The sequence below is a fragment of the Homo sapiens genome, chromosome X, assembly GCF_000001405.40.
Source record: "Homo sapiens chromosome X, GRCh38.p14 Primary Assembly".
Taxonomy (NCBI): domain Eukaryota; kingdom Metazoa; phylum Chordata; class Mammalia; order Primates; family Hominidae; genus Homo; species Homo sapiens.
In genome coordinates, this window is record NC_000023.11 from 130,484,879 (window position 1) to 130,503,784 (window position 18,906).

Sequence of the window (18,906 nt, forward strand, 5' to 3'; positions counted from 1 at the left end):
CCCCACTAAATTTTGTATTTTTATAGAGACGGGGTTTCACCATGTTAGCCAGGCTGGTCTCGAACTCCTGATCCACTTGCTTCAGCCTCCCAAAGTGCTGAGATTACAAGCGTGAGCCACCACGCCCGGCCTGCTGATATTTTCCAGTACTTGCTCTTGATTAACAGGATAAAAGGTAAATGCTTGTCATGGCCTACCAGAATTTTAATGACCAGTCCTTATCTACCAGTCAAGCTTCATCTTCTGCAATTCTCTAACTTGAACTTTTAGGTAAAACAATTCTAAAACAATTTGTATTTCCACAAACACATGCTTTAATGTCTATATCTTGGTAAATATATTCCCTTTTCCTGGAAGGTTCTCTCTACCACCTTCCATTTGTTTGCCTAGAAAATTCTTTTTCATCCTTCATGTCTCAGCTCAATTGTGGCTTCTTCTGTAAAAGCTTCCTTGTGCTTCCACTAGATTTTGTACATATCTCCAGTATGCACTTATCATATTGGGTTGTAATTATTGACATGACTGTTCCCCACTAAACTGTAAAATTCCAGGGTAGGGACCATGGCTTTTCTGCTTTGTATGTTAAATAATTGGCACAGTGCCTGTCATGTAGCAGATGCTCAACAAACGTTAGTTGAGTGAATGAATTAAGGGGTTGCCAGATGTGCTTAATAATTGTTGCTAATATTTACCTGGTTCATAGCTGAAGCTTGGTTTCTTGGGCCTTTTTACACTTAAATCAGCATGTCTCACCTATATATACCATAAGAAAAATAAAAACAATAAAACAAAAGTTCCCCAAGGAGTTTTTAAATAATGTGAACACTGGGTATTTTTCACATTTAAAATATAAAACTTTAAGAAAGTGATTTAAGAACTTATTTCAAAAGCTCATTTATAATAAATATCCATGTTTTATTTGGTTTATATGACATATGCTATTTGTAGAACTGAATTTGTAGAACTCAAAGGTTCATAGAATTCATTGGTATTCTAAAATTAACTAACTGTGGAATCACCCTGATAAGCATGGAAGGTAATCAACTGAACAGCTAAAAAGAATATGTGTGGCTTTTAAACAAAGCTAAGTATAGGAGAGACATTTTTAGAGAACTGGAAGGCAGACAGCAGGTTAAAATGTGACTCTTTGGCTTGGCCAAGAACTCTGCTTGCTTTGGTGATTGTACAGGTAGATAAATGCAACAAAGTCGACTTTATTTTTTTCCACATCTGAGAGCTGGACACAAGCCACCAGAAGTACATTTCCTAACACTGATAGGATGGGTGAAACAAGTTGGAAAATAGTATTGTATTCTATTGTAATAAAGGTGTTTATGCTGTTTCTCAAAATAATGAGAGATATTTGTGACCATTTGATGTACTTATTTTGCCCAACATATTTCAAAGTCTCCTTTAAAAACTGGTGGTCTAAATTTGTTTATTGATATTTTTTGGTAAAAATATGTAATATTAGGCTTGCCATCCATGTTAAAATAAGGGGACACTTTTTCCTGGCTCTGTATTGAGACCAGTGAAAAAATTAACTCCTGATTTGCAACTACTAAACTATCTCAAAGTAGTTAAGTTTCTTCCTTTAGATACTGAACATACTGATTATCCATGTTGACTTAGTAGCACAATGCCTTGCACATAGCAGATATTTCATAAATATTTGTTTATACAGAGAAGCATATTATGGCAGACATGCTACCTTTTAGCCATTACACATAAGCAAGTCTGTCACTTAGTATGCAATTAACACAGGATATGCCAATGACATTTTCTACTTTAGTTATCTAAAACTCTTTTGGGAAGACTTCAGTAAATTACCTGCTTGATGACGTCTCTCTCAAACCATGTTACCTTTTTAGAACAGCAAAATCAGTTAATACAGTGCTAACAGAGCCAACAATGTGGATTTGATTCCTATAATAATCAGTTGGTATCCCACAGAGACAATCTATGCTGTGACAAGGGGCTGCGCCATGAATATCTGCTGCTAACTTTACAGCATTAGATGACTAAGGACTGGTAACCAAGGGGACAGAATGAGACAATATGGCTGTCTCTGCACAACCCATCAGCACTAGAAGACAAGTGATTCACAAAAACCCAATTTGATGCTTCATCTTCAGAGCACTAGTATGTATCTTGAAGTTCAAGTAGCTCACCAGTTAGCCTATAACCTAAGGGCTATTAAGTGGGAACACTCAAGTTGCTTCAGGTAATTACTATTAAGAATGAAGGCAAATATAACATTCAAATTTGAGATTTGTCTAACAAATCTCAGGCCCACCATCTTTCTTTTTCTAACTGACAAATTGTTACTGGTATTCCCTACATTTACAGCTTGGTGACATTAACATAACTGATAGCCACCAGTGTCAGTAGACTAAAGTAGCACAGGGCTATTACTGGGGTTTGCATTTCAATTTTTGTAAAACCTTACTTTAGGATGGTTAATTTCAGGGAATAAGGCTGTTCTAAATTGACATTTAATGAACGAAGTTGTTGTACACCAATCTTGATCATAATTTCATACTTCATTTGTTCTATCTACATCTGGTACAAAAGAAATGTTACTTGCCTCTTGTCTCAGAATATCTGGTAAAGATTGTCTGGGGACATTTGTTGTTTTAGCAGAAACAACTGAAGCATGAAGTGAGGCACTTTTTATTCCTGGGGAAAAGAAGAGGTACTATTAAATTGAGAAAATGATATAGTTCTCCTTCCTGGGCTGCCATAATGTCTGGAATTACCATAGTCAAGGATACATTTATTCCGGTTAAGGCAGTAGCTCCAAGGATAAGATGACTTGATGAGGTTTTTAAATTTCCCCTGCCTACAAACTTCTAGTGGCTTGCCACTTACCTCAGGGACAAGTCTGAACTCCCTAACTTCTTGCTGTAACTTCCTTTGCTAGCTTTATCTCCCTCCCAATGAGAATGAAATATTTTGTACTTTATTCAGTAGCCAACAGCTACCACTGAGGACTTTTGAGTAGAGGGATTATATGCCCCAAACTGTATTTTGGAAAGGTTACATTCACAGCAAAATGTAGAGCAGGTTAAAAGGAAGAAAAAGAACATATAATGGAGTACTATTCAGTCATAAAAAGAATGAGATTCAGTCATTTGCAGTAACATGGATGGGACTGAGGGTCATTATGTTAAGTGAAATAAGCCAGGTACAGAAAGACAAACATCACATGTTCTCACATATTTGTGGGATATAAAAATCAAAACAATTTAACTCATGGACATAGAGAGTAGAAGGATGGGTGACCATTTACAAGAGGCTGGGAAGGGTAGTGGGGGTGGCTAGAGCGGAGGTGGGGATGTTTAATGGGTACAAAAAATAGAATGAATAAATAGGCCTAGTATTTGACAGCACAAATGGGTGATTATAGTCAATAATAACTTAATTGTACATTTTAAAATAACTTAGAGTGTAATTGGATTGTTTGTAACTCAAGTATAAATGCCTGAGAGGATGGATACCCCATTGTCCATGATGTGCTTATTTCACATTGCATGCCTGTATCACAACATCTAATGTACCCCATAAATATATATGCCAACTATGTACCCACAAAAATTAAAAAACAAAAAATAAAATGAAAAGGAAAAGGAAACATTTTACTGAAAAAAAGGAATAAGAAGACATTGGAGGCAAATTATGGTAATCATTAAGGGCAGGGATAACATGAATGGAAAGGAAAGGTAAATTACACAGAATGTGGCAACTTTAAGATGTAGAATATGAGCAATGGGAAAAAGCGAAAGATGAGCCAAGTTTTGTGCCTGGATAAAAAAGGAGGAAGTAAGAACAGGTTTTGGGGTGACTGGAAGATGATGAATTTTGTTTTGTGCATATTAGATTTAAAGTGCTCAATGACTACCCAGATGGTGATGTCCTAGTGTGCCTGGTGGCCGTGGGTATGTGTAGAATATGCATGGGAATCTTCTGTAGGGACTAGCAGAGACTTAGCTAACCTCTAGTTCAGCCTTGCGGAGATGGGAAGCAGGATGTATTTTCATGTCTGAGGAGAAGGATGGCAGTAGAAGGTAGGGACCTTTTTGGGGAGAATTTTCTGCACTGGGACTCCCAAATCATACTATGTTATGAACTTACTCTGCCTATCAGTAAGGGCAGCCATTGCAGGAACTCTAACTTCTCCACACTTTGCAAATCCCAAATGACCTATTCAGCTAAAAAACACCCCAGTATGTAAGATAATAACATTCATAATCATGAATATTTTTAAAATCTTCCTTTACTAAAAATAAGCACAGATTTTATAATCAGGAAAATAACCAGCTGTATGACAAAACTATTTAATTGAAAAACTACAGAAAAATTATGAATATTATTTATTTTCTTACCTCCTTCATTTGAAGGACATGACAGTTTAGTCATTTCTTTATCTTTCTATATGGCTTAGTATTCCAGAGAAAAGCATTAATTAGTAATTAAGCTTCTATTATTATTTTTTCACCCTGCATGTGGTATCTGATAATTAAGCTTCTAAAAGAGACTTTTGCCTACTCTACAGGCATCAAATTAATATAATATCTTCCCCTCATCCCCTACCTCTCTCCCAAGCACTGGTCTCAATGCTAATACATATTATCAACCACTTGCTGGACATCTCTCACAGACACCTAAACTTAACTAGCTCATTATGTACCCATGGACTCACATCTTTCCAAATTCACTTCCCTTCCTGCAGTTCATATTTTAGTTAAAGATGTGGTGATTCACCCAGTGCTCCATTCTAAAAGTTCAGATTTGCCCCGTTTATTTCAGTAAGGCCACTCCAATTCAATCTAATGCTTATTGGGTGCACTGCTTAGACCTGAAAAAATATATTTAATTCCTGACCTCAAGAAGCTTATCATCCAGTAAAACAGTCAGACAAATATGATACAGTAGAATGAGTTCTGAGACAGAGGTAAGCCTAAGCACCATGGAAGCACAGAGAAAAGACACCCTACTTTGTGAAAAACCTATATACAAAAACTGAATAATATAATAATAATAATAATAATAATCATCATCATCATCATCCTCATCATTGATATGGTTTGGCTGTGTCCCCACTCAAATCTCACCTTGGATTGTAATAATCCCCACGTGTCAAGGTGGAGATAATTGAATCATTGGGGCAGTTTTCCCCATACTGTTCTTGTGGTAGTGAATAAGTCTCTTGAGATCTGATGGTTTTATAAATGGGAGTTCCCCTGCACAAGCTCTCTTGCCTGCCGCCATGTGAGACACGCCTTTGTTTCTCCTTTGCCTTCTGCCATGATTGTCAGACCTCTGCAGCCACGTGGAACTGTGAGTCCATTAAACCTCTTTCCTTTATAAATTACCCAGTCTCAGGTATGTCTTTATTAGCAGTGTGAGATCAGACTAATACAATCATCATCAATCTCCCTCTCAGACTCCACACATCTATTAAGTCACCAACTCCAGACATAGTCTAACTCCAAAATATCTTGAATCTATATCTTCCCTTTCACCCTCATGCTGCTGCCTGTTTGGGCCCTTATCATTTTTATCTGAACTATCCCAGTTCAGATAAACTGGGATAGTTCCAAACTATCTTGTCTCCAAACTATCTTGTCTCTAATCTCTTTTCTCTACCATCTATCTCAAACACTGCAACTGGATTATCTTTTTAGAAATTCAAATAATTCTTATGTCATATGCCTACTCAGAAACCTTCAATGGTTCCCTGCTACTGAGAGGATATAGTCATACTTCAGCAAGGTGTACAAGGCTCTGACTTCAACTCACCTTTTCAGTCTCATCTCCTGCACTTCTCTGGCTATGCTGGCTCACACCTCCATGCTTTCAATGTACGCTTTTCACTTGTATCTGCAACATTGGCTCACTATATCCTCACAACTACTCACCTGGAAAATTCCCACTCACATTTCAGGACCTAATTTAATTAAATCCTCCTTTAATAAAGCCTTCTTCAACCTCTCTAGGCAGGACTAGGCTTTAAATCTTCTACACTTTCACTACATTTTGCATCAATCAAAACTCCCATTTTATTATAAGAACTTTTGTTTATGTAAGTCTGACCCTTAGAAGGTGATTATGTCTTTTCCATCTGTATATTCTGTGTCACCCACTTTTTCCTTTTTCCTTCTTTCTCACTTAGTACAGGACCTAGCTCACAGTAGGTTCTCAACAAATGTTAACTTTCATCATCATCATCATCATCACCATAATCATCATCATCATCATCAAATGTTTAAGTTACTTTCTGCTAAATTGCGTGGTACATTTAGCATGAAGCTTACTCAGCACCTTCTTTACCAGGGAGAGGGGTGTGACCTGTGTCTTAACACAATGATCTCTAGCTAGTCAGCACCAAGCCAGTGAATGGGATATCCTATAGAAATAAGTTAACTAGACAAACTAATGATCAATACAAACATTTGAAACACAATTTCTTCTTTTTGTTCTGTCGTGTTACTCTATACATTCCATCAAGGATGTAATTGCTTCTTCACTTTTTGATAGCAATCTTGGTACCATTTTGAGAATGATGAACTGGCCCTAAAAGTAAGTAAAAGGGAAATCATATCATTTTTAAACAACTTTGTTAAATTATGATTGAAGTACAAAACTGTACATGTTTAAAATGTACAATTTGTTCAGTTTTGACATATATATATACATACATACCCATGAAACAATCACTACAATCAAGATAGTGAACATACTGATCACCCACAAAAGTTTCCTTTGCCCTCTTATAGTTCATCCCCCTCTGTACTGTCCCGCAGGCAATCACCAATCTTGCTGTCACTATAAATTAGTTCGCACTTTCTAGAAGTTTGTATGAAGGGAATCAAACAAGATGTACTATTTTTTGTCTGTACTGTTTTCTTTCATTTAACATAATTATTTTGTGATTCATTAATATTGTTGCCTGTATGAGTAATTCATTCCTTTTTATTACTGCATAGTATTCCCTGGTATATATGTATCACAGTTTACCCATTTACCCATTGAAGGGCATTTAGGTTGTTTCCAGTTTTCAGCTATGATGAATAATGCTGCTATGAACATTGGTGTTTGATTCTTTATGTGGATGTATAATTTCACTTCTATTGGGCACATACCTAGGAGTGTAATGACTGAATTGTGTGGTAGATGCAAGTGTAACTTCATTTGCCCAACTATTTTCCACAGTGGTTGTGCCATGTTTACATCCCCATCAGCTGTGTAAGAGAGTTCTAGGTCCTCTTGGTCTTTGCAAATGCTTGGTATGAACAAGTATATTCTAGCCATTTTACTGAATGTGTAGTGGTATCTCACAGTAGTTTAATTTGTAGTTCCCTGATGAGTAATAATGTTGAACAGCTTTTCATGTGTTTATTTGCCATCTATACGTTTTCTTCAGTGAAATGCCTGTTTGCCCCTTTTTATGAGATTGTCCTGCCTTTTGCCAACTTTATAACATTGTTGCAAAAATATTATATGTATTTTATATTCTACATCTTTTTACAATGAGAATGTATTCTAGATGTAGGTCAGGAGGCCCATATTTTTCCTGTGCTTACCTTTGGGGCCTGACAGATGTGAAATAACCATTGTGCAACAGGGCTATTATTTCAAAAATTTTATATCATTTCTAATTCTTGACTCCTTCGGTACTCTTTATCCTAGTCTTCCATAGGCATCTACTGGTTTGGTAGTGGAGGTAGGGGAGGTAGAGTAGAGAAGTCTACTCAATAATTTGTAACAGGAGGAATTCCATGATACACACCAAGGTAATATTCAGCACCTCTCATCCCAAAATAGGATGACACAACAAGACAGTTCCCTTGTAAGCCATGATTGTCTCAAGAATTTCCCTAAATTTTTTCCCTGTTTTGTGTAGCAACAACCTGGAATGCTTAGCTACTAGAGATAGCCTTGCCACCATTAAAGGTTATCTGGGGTCAGGAAGAAGGGGTATATGACCTAGGAGAAAGGTACCAAAGAAAGATCACTCCTTTAGAAGCTCAGAGATAGTAAGAAGATGGAAGAGTAGTGTCAGAGAGAGGCTGGAGAGCAAAGAAATCAGATGTGGCTTCACATTTGCCTTATTCTGGGCCTTGGTTGCTTTAGATAATTGAAGTTAACATGGAGAGCAAACAAGGGGAACTATAGCTCCACTCTCCATTTAAGACTCTAGGAAGATAGATCTTAGGTTCCCCCAGTCCTTGCTTCCACCTTTTCCTCACCTGGGCCATGGCCCAGCAACTTGGCAGTATAGTGCAGTCAGGCCCAGCAAGGTTCTCTCTGAGGTTTTGGTTTCTTAAGCCACTCTTGGTTCCCATGTGGTATAGTCATGGTCCAGAAGGGGCTGAAAGTCTAGCTGGGGAGCTGGCCAGGGGGAGTCACTATGGTGGAAGTGAGAGGACTCTACCCTGAGTGTTATAGAGAAGCCAACCAGAATTGGGGTGGGGGATAGACAAGAAAGCCAGAGGGCTCTACTAAGCCCAGGGAGACCAGAGCATGAGTCAGTACACTAGTGGCAGACTTAAATTTTGAATGCCAGTAGGCTAAGCGCTATCTGAGTGGAGACAGAAACATCTGTTTGGAGACCCAAGGAGGCAGAGGACATTTCGTCTAAGCACCCTGACTTTGTTCTGCCTTTATGAGGTCATGGAGGCCAGTGCTTCTCAAACTTGAACATGCATACCCACACTGGGATCTTGTTAAAATGCAGATTCTGATTCCGTAGGGCTGGGGTGAGGCCTGATAATCTGCATTTCTAATAAGCACCTAGATGATGCCCATGTGGCTGACGCTTAGAGGAGTAAGAACATAAGTCAAACCTCTTACCTCAGGCACATGGACGCCATCTTTGGAAAAGAAGCAGTAAGATGGGGAAGCTTCCTGAAAGTCTGAGCCATTTTGGGGGCTCCACAAAGGCAGAATCTAAAGGAGTATGTTAGGAAAATCAATGACTGAGCTAGAAAGCAAAACAAAGGAAGACACTTCAATTCAACAAATAGTGCCAGCCCTACATGTGTTCAGGAAGCCTACTAAAGAAGCGGGTTGAAACATTAAATGACAGCTACTACTCAGGTGGGGTTTTCTAAAAGGAAGAGGGGAACAAGAGTGGGCAATACTGGGGGCACACTCCACTGCTGCAGAAAAATATGTGGCAGAATAAAATATTTCTGCTGCCAGTGAAGTGACATAAATTACTTTTGGGCCCGAAAGGTCCCAAGTCAAAGGAAGGGCAGGGTTTTGAGCAAGACCCATGTCTTGGTCCTCACTAGGTCCCTAGTGCTGTGGTTCCATTCAGCAATCTGCAAGGATAGTTCTCCAGGTGGAACAAGTGAGATGCAGGTAAAAAACTTCCGTAGGAGGTGGAACTGCTGAGAAAGGGGTGGCAGCAGCAGTAGCAGCAGCTAGTGATGCACAGGCTGAAAAAAATACCTCAGAATCTTGTTGGGAATGGGGAAGTACAGAGGAGAGATCAGAAGCAGGGGCTGTGGAAAACTCAGGGCTCTGATCATGCTTGGAGAGTTGTCAACTGCAAAATGTGGGCTGCCCTGCTCATGGGAGTGTGGAGGCAGTGACACCAACTGAGTAGTTAGGGCATCTAATGCAGATGGCAATAGAAGCTGTAGCACTGTTGGTGAGAATTACTCAAAATCCATCATTTGATAGACGAGAATAGAGGATTTATCTGCATGATAAGCAGGTCATTACCAAATCCAGTCTTTCCACAAATTACTCATTTCTAATGATAACATTTCAATTAAATTTTTGTCCTTGGTGTGGTTTCTGACCCATGGGAGTGTCACTCATTTTCTTTCTCTTTGAGGGAGTTGCTTAAAGAAACATAATGAAACATTTATTTTTAATAGTGGGGATGACAAAAGTATCCCAGATAGATTCTATTCATCCTTCCATGCCCAATAAGAGGAGAGCCATATGCCGATCTACATATGGGGTTGTGGCGGAGGAAATGGGAGATGACAGGCAGTGGTTCTCGATGGGAGGTAATTTTGTCCTCCAGGGGACATTTGAAAATGTCTGGAGACATTTTTGATTGTCACAAATGATGGGTGTTGTGTTTCTGGCATGGGTAGAGGGATGCTACTAAACATCCTACCGTGCACAGGATGGCCCTCCACAATGGATTCTGTGGCCCCAAATGTTAATAGTGCCAAAGTTGAGAGACCCTGGGGTAGAGACGTGTGATGGGAAGGAAAGAAAATTACCTTTAGAGCTGCGCGCCGCGGCGGCGGAAGATGGCTGCGGCCGAGTTGGCGGACACTCAGCTGATGCTTGGAGTCGGGCTGATCGAAAAGGACACAAATGGAGAAGTTCTGTGGGTGTGGTGTTATCCTTCCACGACAGCCACATTAAGGAACCTGCTGCTGAGAAAATGCTGCCTTACAGATGAAAACAAACTTCTCCATCCCTTTGTCTTTGGTCAGTACAGAAGAACATGGTTTTATATCACAATAATTGAAGTTCCAGATTCTTCCATTTTGAAAAAGGTGACTCATTTTTCTATTGTCCTGACCGCCAAAGATTTTAACCCAGAGAAGTATGCTGCCTTCACTAGGATATTGTGTAGAATGTACCTGAAACATGGGAGCCCAGTTAAAATGATGGAGAGTTATATTGCAGTTCTCACAAAGGGGATATGCCAGAGTGAAGAAAACGGCTCTTTCCTTAGTAAGGATTTTGATGCCCGAAAGGCCTACCCGGCTGGCTCCATCAAAGACATTGTATCTCAGTTTGGAATGGAAACTGTTATCTTACACACAGCACTGATGCTAAAGAAAAGAATTGTGGTGTATCACCCCAAGATAGAAGCGGTCCAGGAGTTCACCAGGACTCTGCCTGCCCTGGTGTGGCACCGACAGGACTGGACCATCCTTCACTCTTACGTGCACCTCAACGCCGATGAGCTGGAAGCCCTGCAGATGTGCACAGGTTACGTCGCTGGATTTGTAGACTTGGAGGTGAGCAACAGACCAGACCTCTATGATGTGTTTGTGAATCTGGCAGAGAGTGAGATTACCATTGCTCCCCTTGCAAAAGAGGCCATGGCAATGGGCAAACTGCACAAAGAAATGGGTCAGCTAATTGTTCAGTCTGCAGAAGATCCAGAGAAATCAGAGAGCCAGGTTATACAGGATATTGCTCTAAAAACAAGAGAAATCTTTACCAACCTAGCACCGTTTTCAGAAGTTTCGGCTGATGGAGAAAAGAGAGTCCTTAATTTGGAGGCGCTAAAGCAAAAACGATTTCCACCAGCAACAGAAAACTTCCTTTATCATCTAGCAGCAGCCGAACAAATGCTGAAAATCTGACTGTGTGACAGAACGTATCACTGATGACTGATAGAAAGCCCTCTTTCACTCTGATTACCCACTCACTACATGAAGTCCTGAAAATAACAGAGAAACTGTTATATCTTTTTAATGATTTATTTGCAAGTATTGAGATTTGACCTGAAAAACAATGAAACACATGAACACACTTCCGATTTTCTCCTCGCTGATTAGCTTCCTGCCTGCTGTCAGTGCTGGACGAAGTGCTATAACTACTTTATGTAACATTACAGAACAGCTAGAGGTCCTGGGGTAAGAGGAAAAAAGCACATCACGACAAATGTGAAAGCCTTCATTATTACACGTTCCAGTTTGTCTCGCTGTGTAGGCATAAGCTAATGGTTTATTTTCAGAAAGCTGCCTGAAACGTTGCTTTGTATTCTTCTAGGAAGAACTTTAATTTCTCCTGAGGAACTCTACTTTCTGAGCCAAACTGCTAATTTTCTGCGGAACTGTCTAGAAGATCATTCAAGAGACCCTGCAGTTGCACTTTCTCGTAAAAGTTAAAAAAAAAAAAAAAAAAAAGGTTTTTCCCGGCCTTTGAACATTTTGCCTATGAGAGTTTTGCATATATTTTATACTTGAGTAGACAACTTTAATAATCCATATTTATACTATCGCAGAAGTAAGCATTTGGCAAACGTTCAGCCATTAGCACTCATTTAACCCTGTTAGCAATATTCTTTTGAAAAAAGTGCCAGTCCTTATGTGATAAACTAAGAAGCCCATTGAATATAAAAGTGTGTAGGACTGAAACAGTGACCTTATATTATTGCTAAGGGAATATGAGATTAACTTCCTACAGGGGCCAAAACCAGAGAAAGGCTTCCAGCAACTTCAGTGAAAGTAGTTTGGCCACATGTCAAGCCAATTGTTTGTATTATTTATGTACCTTTTTCATAACTGGAATTGCCAAATAAGCATGGAGGTCTAAATGATGTACTTGTTAGTGTATTCATTCATATTGATTGTAAAGGATTATTTTTCACTCAGTACTGATGTCCTTGGAAATCTTACCTGGAAACATGTTTGCAAAAAACATTATTGGATCTTTCATCTTTTTCTTGGTATTACATATTTGTTCAATAAAAATTAAACACCCTCCCTTTTTTTTGAGTGAGGGCAGGGAGTACCTGAAATAAGACAATGTTTACTAAGGCAAATAATTGAAAATTAAATCTGCACTTTATGGAAATGAGAAATATTAACATCTTTTTTCTCATTTTTTTGTATTACTGTATTAGCTAATGATCAAAGTTGTTAAAATTATAAATTTATGATGCAGAAATAAAATTGAAATATTTTGATATTCAAAAAAAAAAAAAAGAAAATTACCTTTATACTATCTTGTCTAATTAAAGCTACTTTGGCTCTAACTAGCCAGAATTGTCTTCTGGGAGAAGGGAACAACTACTTTCTGTTCCATGAGAACACGGCCTGCCTCTGTGTGGGAGGCAGACCAGCATAATAACTGTGCTGGAGATCCTCCAAGCTAGCGGCAATGACAATTCTTGGTTGTTCCTCACAGCTTGACAGAGGCAACCATATAACCATATACATAGACCTCATCTGGGAAAAAGGTGATTACAGCTCCTGTTTTTAACCATTTAGATTGACAAAAGGATTCCTAACTGCATGTGTGCTAATTGGGTTTTCATTAGAGTTTTAAGATGTGTGTCCCTTGTGTCTGCATGGTAGAAGATGACAGCCTTGTTATAGTGGATATGAGTCAGTTGCATATGTGAAATTGATATCCTCACTCTTCTGTCACCTCTATAATATAGTGAACTTAAATTCACTTATATTTTCTTTTTCAAAAAGGGTTTGAGGTGGTCCCGGTATAAGATGCCTACCTGATACTTTCTTTCTGCTAGAAGTGGGTGTTAACAGTTGAAGGTTAAGAGCCGTATGGCTGCTTACATGATCTTTTATGGAGGAGGCGGAACATTATAGCCTCATTATTTCACTGAACTGAACTACAAGCTTGTCTTATTGACTCCTCTTTTATAAAATTTTAATTCCTTCTTCCCTATCATATTGTCTATTCTTATCAGCACCTTCAGCATCTTTTTTTTTTTTTTTGAGACAGAGTCTCGTCTGTCACACAGGCTGGAGTGAGTGCAGTTGCACAATCTTGGCTCACTGCAGCCTCTGCCTCCAGGGCTCAAGCAATTCTTCTGTCTCAGCCTCCTGAATAGCTGGTACTACAGGCACATCACTGTGCCCGGCTAATTTTTATATATTTCTTTTGTAAAGATGGGGTTTCACCATGTGTCCCAGGCTGGTCTCGAACTCCTGACCTCAAGTGATCTGCCTGGCCCAGCATCTGAAAGTGCTGGGATTACAGGCATGAGCCACTGCGACAGCCAACCAGCACCTCTTTTTAAAACATTCTCTTACACATATCCTTCCTCATTTAATTTTTTAAAATTTTCTGCTCTTTTTCTCTTTCTCTATCCTTTTCCCTCCCTCTTTCTTCCTTCTTCCCTCTTTCTTTTGCTTTATTTTTCCATCTTTTGCTCTATATTTTCTTTATTGATTCCTCCTTTCAGAACTTATTTTTTCTTTCTTTTCTTTCTCTCTTGTTTTCATTATTTCTTGCAGTGGCGTTTCTTATGGACTCTTCTTTGTTAAACATCTTTCTCTCTCTCTCTCTTCCACTCTTTCCTTCTCTCTCTTTCTCTTTAATGCACTATCATTTTTGTAATTTTTTTTACTCTCCCCTTTTCACCATCCCCTCTCAAATTTATTTTATCATTGACTTCTCCTTTCAAAACTTTTCCTTTTCTCTTTTGTGTAAATTCTTCCTACAGGCTTCTTGCATTTAAGATTTTTCTTTTGTATTCTATTTCTATCTTTCTTTCCTTTTCTTTTTCTTTTTCTCTTTTTTAATGCACTTTGTTTTTACTGGCCCCTTTCTGCTTGTGAAACTTTCTCTTATTTTTTTCTTCTTGATTTTACTTTCTTATTAACTAGTTCTTTTTAAACATTTCTTTATTTCTTACTCTTTCCTCCCTTCATTCTTTCCTTCATTCCTTCCCTTATTCCCTTTGTTTTTCTTGCTCCCTTTTATTTATTTCTATTTCTCCTCCGTTCCTGTCTGCATGCATGCCCACCTTTCTTCCTTCCCTCCTCCCTTCCTTCTGCCTTCTTTCCTCCCTTTTGCCTTTATTCCTTCCTCCCTTCCTACCCTCTCCTACATTCCCTCTTTCTTTCACTCCAGTTACTGAGTCCTTTAAAAATGTTTTTCATTTCCTCTCTTTCTCTTCTTATCTCTTTATTTTTTAAGTACCAATTTTTTTTTAAGACAGCGTCTCCCTCTGTTGCCCAGGCTGGTGTGCAGTGGCACGATCTTGCTCACTGCAACCTCCACCTCCTGGGTTTAAGCGACTCTCCTGCCTCAGCCTCCCGAGTAGCTGGGACTACAGGTGCGTGCCACCATGCCCAGCTAATTTTTTTTTTTTTTTTTTTGTATTTTTAGTAGAGACTGCGTTTTACCATGTTAGCCAGGATGGTCTGGATCTCCTCACCTCGTGATCCGCCTGCCTCGGCCTCCCAAAGTGCTGGGATTACAGGCATGAGCCACTGTGCCCGGCCTAAGTACCGACTTTTTAATGGAGTTCTTTTTAAAATCAGTTTGTTCGTATTCTCCCTCTCTGCCCGTCTTACAACTTTTTCCCTCCCTTCCTATCTAGCTGTCATCCATCTGTCTATCTTATTTTATTGTCACATTTTAACTGACTTCTTCCTTATAGATTGGTCTTTCCCTGCTGTCCACAGTTGTACTTTTCTTACTAGCTTCTCTTTTTCAAACCTCTCCGTGTCTCTCACTTCTTCTCTTTTTTAAAATTTTATGTAGTCTTTCCTACAGATTCATTAATGTAAACTTATTTTTCTTTCCACTCCTTCCTCCCTTTTTATCTTGCCCCTTCCTTCTTTCTTTTCTTCCTTCTTTTATTACATTTTTCTGCCTTTTCTCATTCCATTTAAGTCCCTCTCCATTTCTCTATTCTTACTCTGCCTACATTCCTTCATTTCAGCTTTCCTCCCTCTTTCCCTCCCTCCCCTGCTTCCTTCCTTCCTTCCATTCGTTTACTGGTTCCTGTTTTTAAACATTTTTCTTTTCATCTATATCTTGTTCTAATCCTCTCTCTTCGTATCTTTTTTTTTTTTTTTTTTTTTGAAACGGAGTTTTGCTCTTGTTGCCCAGGCTGGAGTGCAGTGGCGTGATCTCTATCTCGGCACACTGCAACCTCTGCTTCCCAGGTTCAAGTGGTTCTCCTGCCTCAGCTTCCCAAGTAGCTGGGATTACAGGCACGTGCCACCATGCCTGGCTAATTTTTGTATTTTCAGTAGAAACAGGGTTTCACCATGTTGGCCAGGCTGGTCTCGAACTTCTGACCTCAGGTGATCCACCCACCTCAGCCTCCCAAAGTGCTGGGATTACGGTCATGAATCTTTGTATCTTTTTATACAGTCTTTTATATTGACTTACACCTTTAAAGTTCTATCTGTCTATCTACCTATCTGCTTACCTAGGTACTCACCTAGTTAGCTATCAATCATTATTTTACTATTTTTTAAAAAGTGACTTCTACCTTTTACATCTACTCCCCTTCAACACAATTGTACTTGATTTCTTATTGGCTTCTCCCTCTTACTCTCATATTCCTTCTCTTAACTCTTTTCCCTATTGACTCATCATTTACACTCTTCTTTCTTTCTTACTTTCCATCCTCCTTCCTTCTTTCTTTTTGTTCCACTTTTACACTTTTACTACTACCTCCTCTTTTATATATTTATTTTGAGACAGGGTCTTTCTCTGTCACCCAGGCTGGAGTGCAGTGGCGTGATCACAGCTCACTGCAGCCTCGACCTCTTGGGCTCAAGCGATCCTCCACCTCAGCCTCCCGAGTAGCTGGGACTACAGACATGTGCCACTTCGCCCAGATAACTTTTTTTTTATGTTTTGTAAAGACAGGGTCTCACTATGCTGCCCAGGCTGGTCTTGAACTCCTGGGCTCAAGTGATCCTCCTGCCTCGGCCTCCCAAAGTAGGATTACAGGCGTGAGCCACTGCATCTGGCCTGTACCTCCTCTTTTTAAACATATTTCTTTTCTTCCCTCTCTCTTTTGGGCTACTCTCTCATTTTGTCAGTTTAATATGGTCTTTTCTTTTACTGGCTTTTGCCTTTTAAGATCTGATCTGTCTATCTGTTTATCTATCTATTTATCTATTCCCCTAATCTGTCTATCTTCCTGCCTTATGCCTGCTATCCTTCCTGTCTACCTGTCGCCCATTAATCTATCTTTATTTTATGCTTTCAACTGACTTCTTTTTAGATCTCTCTCCTGTCATCCAATTCCTCCCTTTCTTCTTTCCTCCTTTCTTCCTTCCTATACTTTTAAACTTTCTGTCTTTTCTTGTTCCATTTCTTTCACGAATTCATCTCTGTATTTCGTTCTCTGCCTGCATGCCTACATGATATCCCTTCCTTCCTTCTTTCCATTTCTCTATCCAAACTCCCACTCTCCTGTCTTCCTTCATTCATTTTCCCTTCATCCTTCGTTCTTTTTCCTCCCTTCTTCCATCTGTCTTCTCCCTCTCATTCCTTCTTCTCATTCCTCTTTTATTCTCAACTGGTTCCTCTTTTAAAACTTTTTTACTTTCTCCCTCCTCGCTTTCTTTCTAATTCTATCTTTTTCATACATTCTTTTTTACTGGCTGCTGCTTTTTAAGTTCTGTCTATCTATCTATCTATCATCTGTCTATCTATTCAACCATGTATTTACTTATGTATCATCCTACCTACATATCTATCTATTTAGCTATTATATTTCTGTCTTTATGTTGATTTTCCTATCTCCACCTTTAAAATCTGTTCCTTACCACACAATTGTATATGATTTCCTTATTGGCTTCTCCCTTTCACTCCCATATTTTCTTTATTCCTTTAACTCTTTTCCCTGCTGACTCATCATTTATAAACTTCCTTCCTTCCTTCCTTCCCTCCCTCCCTCCTTCCTTCGGTCCTCCTTTTGTTTCTCCATCCATACTCCCTGACATTTCTCCCTCCTATCTTCACTCATTTCTCCCTCCTCCTTCTCACTTTTTTCTTCCTTCCCTCCCTTTTACTTTCTTTCTTCTATCATTCCTTCCTTCCTCCCACTGTTCTTTTATGCTCTTTCGATTGGCTCCTCTTTTTAAACAGTCTCCCCTTTCTTTCACTCTCATTCTATCCTTTTTATACATTCTTTTTACTCGCTTCTGCTTTTTATGTTTCATCTCTCTCTCTCTCTCTCATCCATCTACCTACCTGCCAGCCCATCAACCTACATATTATAGCTATCAATCATCTACTTTCTTTCTTTACATTTGTGTTTTATTTTCCTGTCTCCAAATTTAAAATTTGCTTCCCCCAAAGAATTGTACTTGGTTTTCTTATTGGCTCCTCTGTCTCATTCTTACATTCTTTCTTCCTTTAACTGTGTTTGCTGCTAACTCATCTTCTATAAATGTCCTATTTTTCCATTTATTTTTTAGGATCAGGGTCTTTCTCTGTCACCCAAGCTGGACTGCAGTGGCACTATCATAGCTCACCGCAGCCCCAAACTTCTGGGTTCAAGTGATCCTCTCGCCTCAGCATCCCAAAACACCGGGATAATGTTTTTTTTTTTTTTTTTTTAATATATATTTTTTAGAGACAGGGTCTTGCTATGTTGCCCAGACTGGTCTTGAACTCCTGGCCTCAAGCGATCCTCCTGCTTCCACCCTTCATAAACTTTTTTCCTTGTTCTTAAGCTTGTTCTTTTCTTCCTTCCTCTCTCCCTCCCCCTCCCTCTTTCTCTCTTTTGCTCTCTATTTTATTCTTAGTATATCTTTTTTATCTTTTATTTCTTAATTCCTTTTTATTTTGTGACAATATGGTTCTCTACCTAGATCTACTTTATTCTTTATATATTTTTTGTATTATGTTTTCTTTCTTGTCTCCTTTAATAAATTATTTCATTCTTTTTCTCTCTTGCTTTCATTATTTACTGTTGTGGCATTTCTTACTGATCCTTGTTTGTTAAATGTCTTTCTTCCCTCCTTTCTCTCTCTATCATTTTTGTAGTCTTTTCTTACTTGCTCTTCTTTTTTACATCTCTTAAATTTATTTTATTATTGGCCTTTCCTTTTAAAACTTTTCTTTTTCTGTTTCTTTTTTGTGTAAAGTCTTCTTACAGGTTACTTGTTTTTAAACTTTTCTTGTTCTCTGTCTTTATTTCTGTCTCTCTTTCTTTTCCTTTCTCTTTTCATTTTTATTTATTTATTTATTTATTTATTTATTTATTTTGAGACGGAGTCTCGCACTGTGGCCCACGCTGGAGTGCAGTGGCGTGATCTCGGCTCACTGCAAGCTCCGCCTCCCAGGTTCATGCCATTCTCCTGCCTCAGCCTCCCGAGTAGCTGGGACTACAGGCGCCCGCCACCACGCCCCGCTAATGTTTTTTTGTATTTTCAGTAGAGACGGAGTTTCATCGTGTTGGCC

General features: G+C 39.0%; 1 pseudogene across 1 annotated transcript; it reads left to right on the forward strand.

Moving 5' to 3' along the window:
* On the forward strand, positions 10,063 to 12,570 carry DENND10P1 (DENND10 pseudogene 1; annotated as a pseudogene). Its single transcript, NR_027141.2, has one exon. The product of NR_027141.2 is annotated as a DENND10 pseudogene 1 (transcript).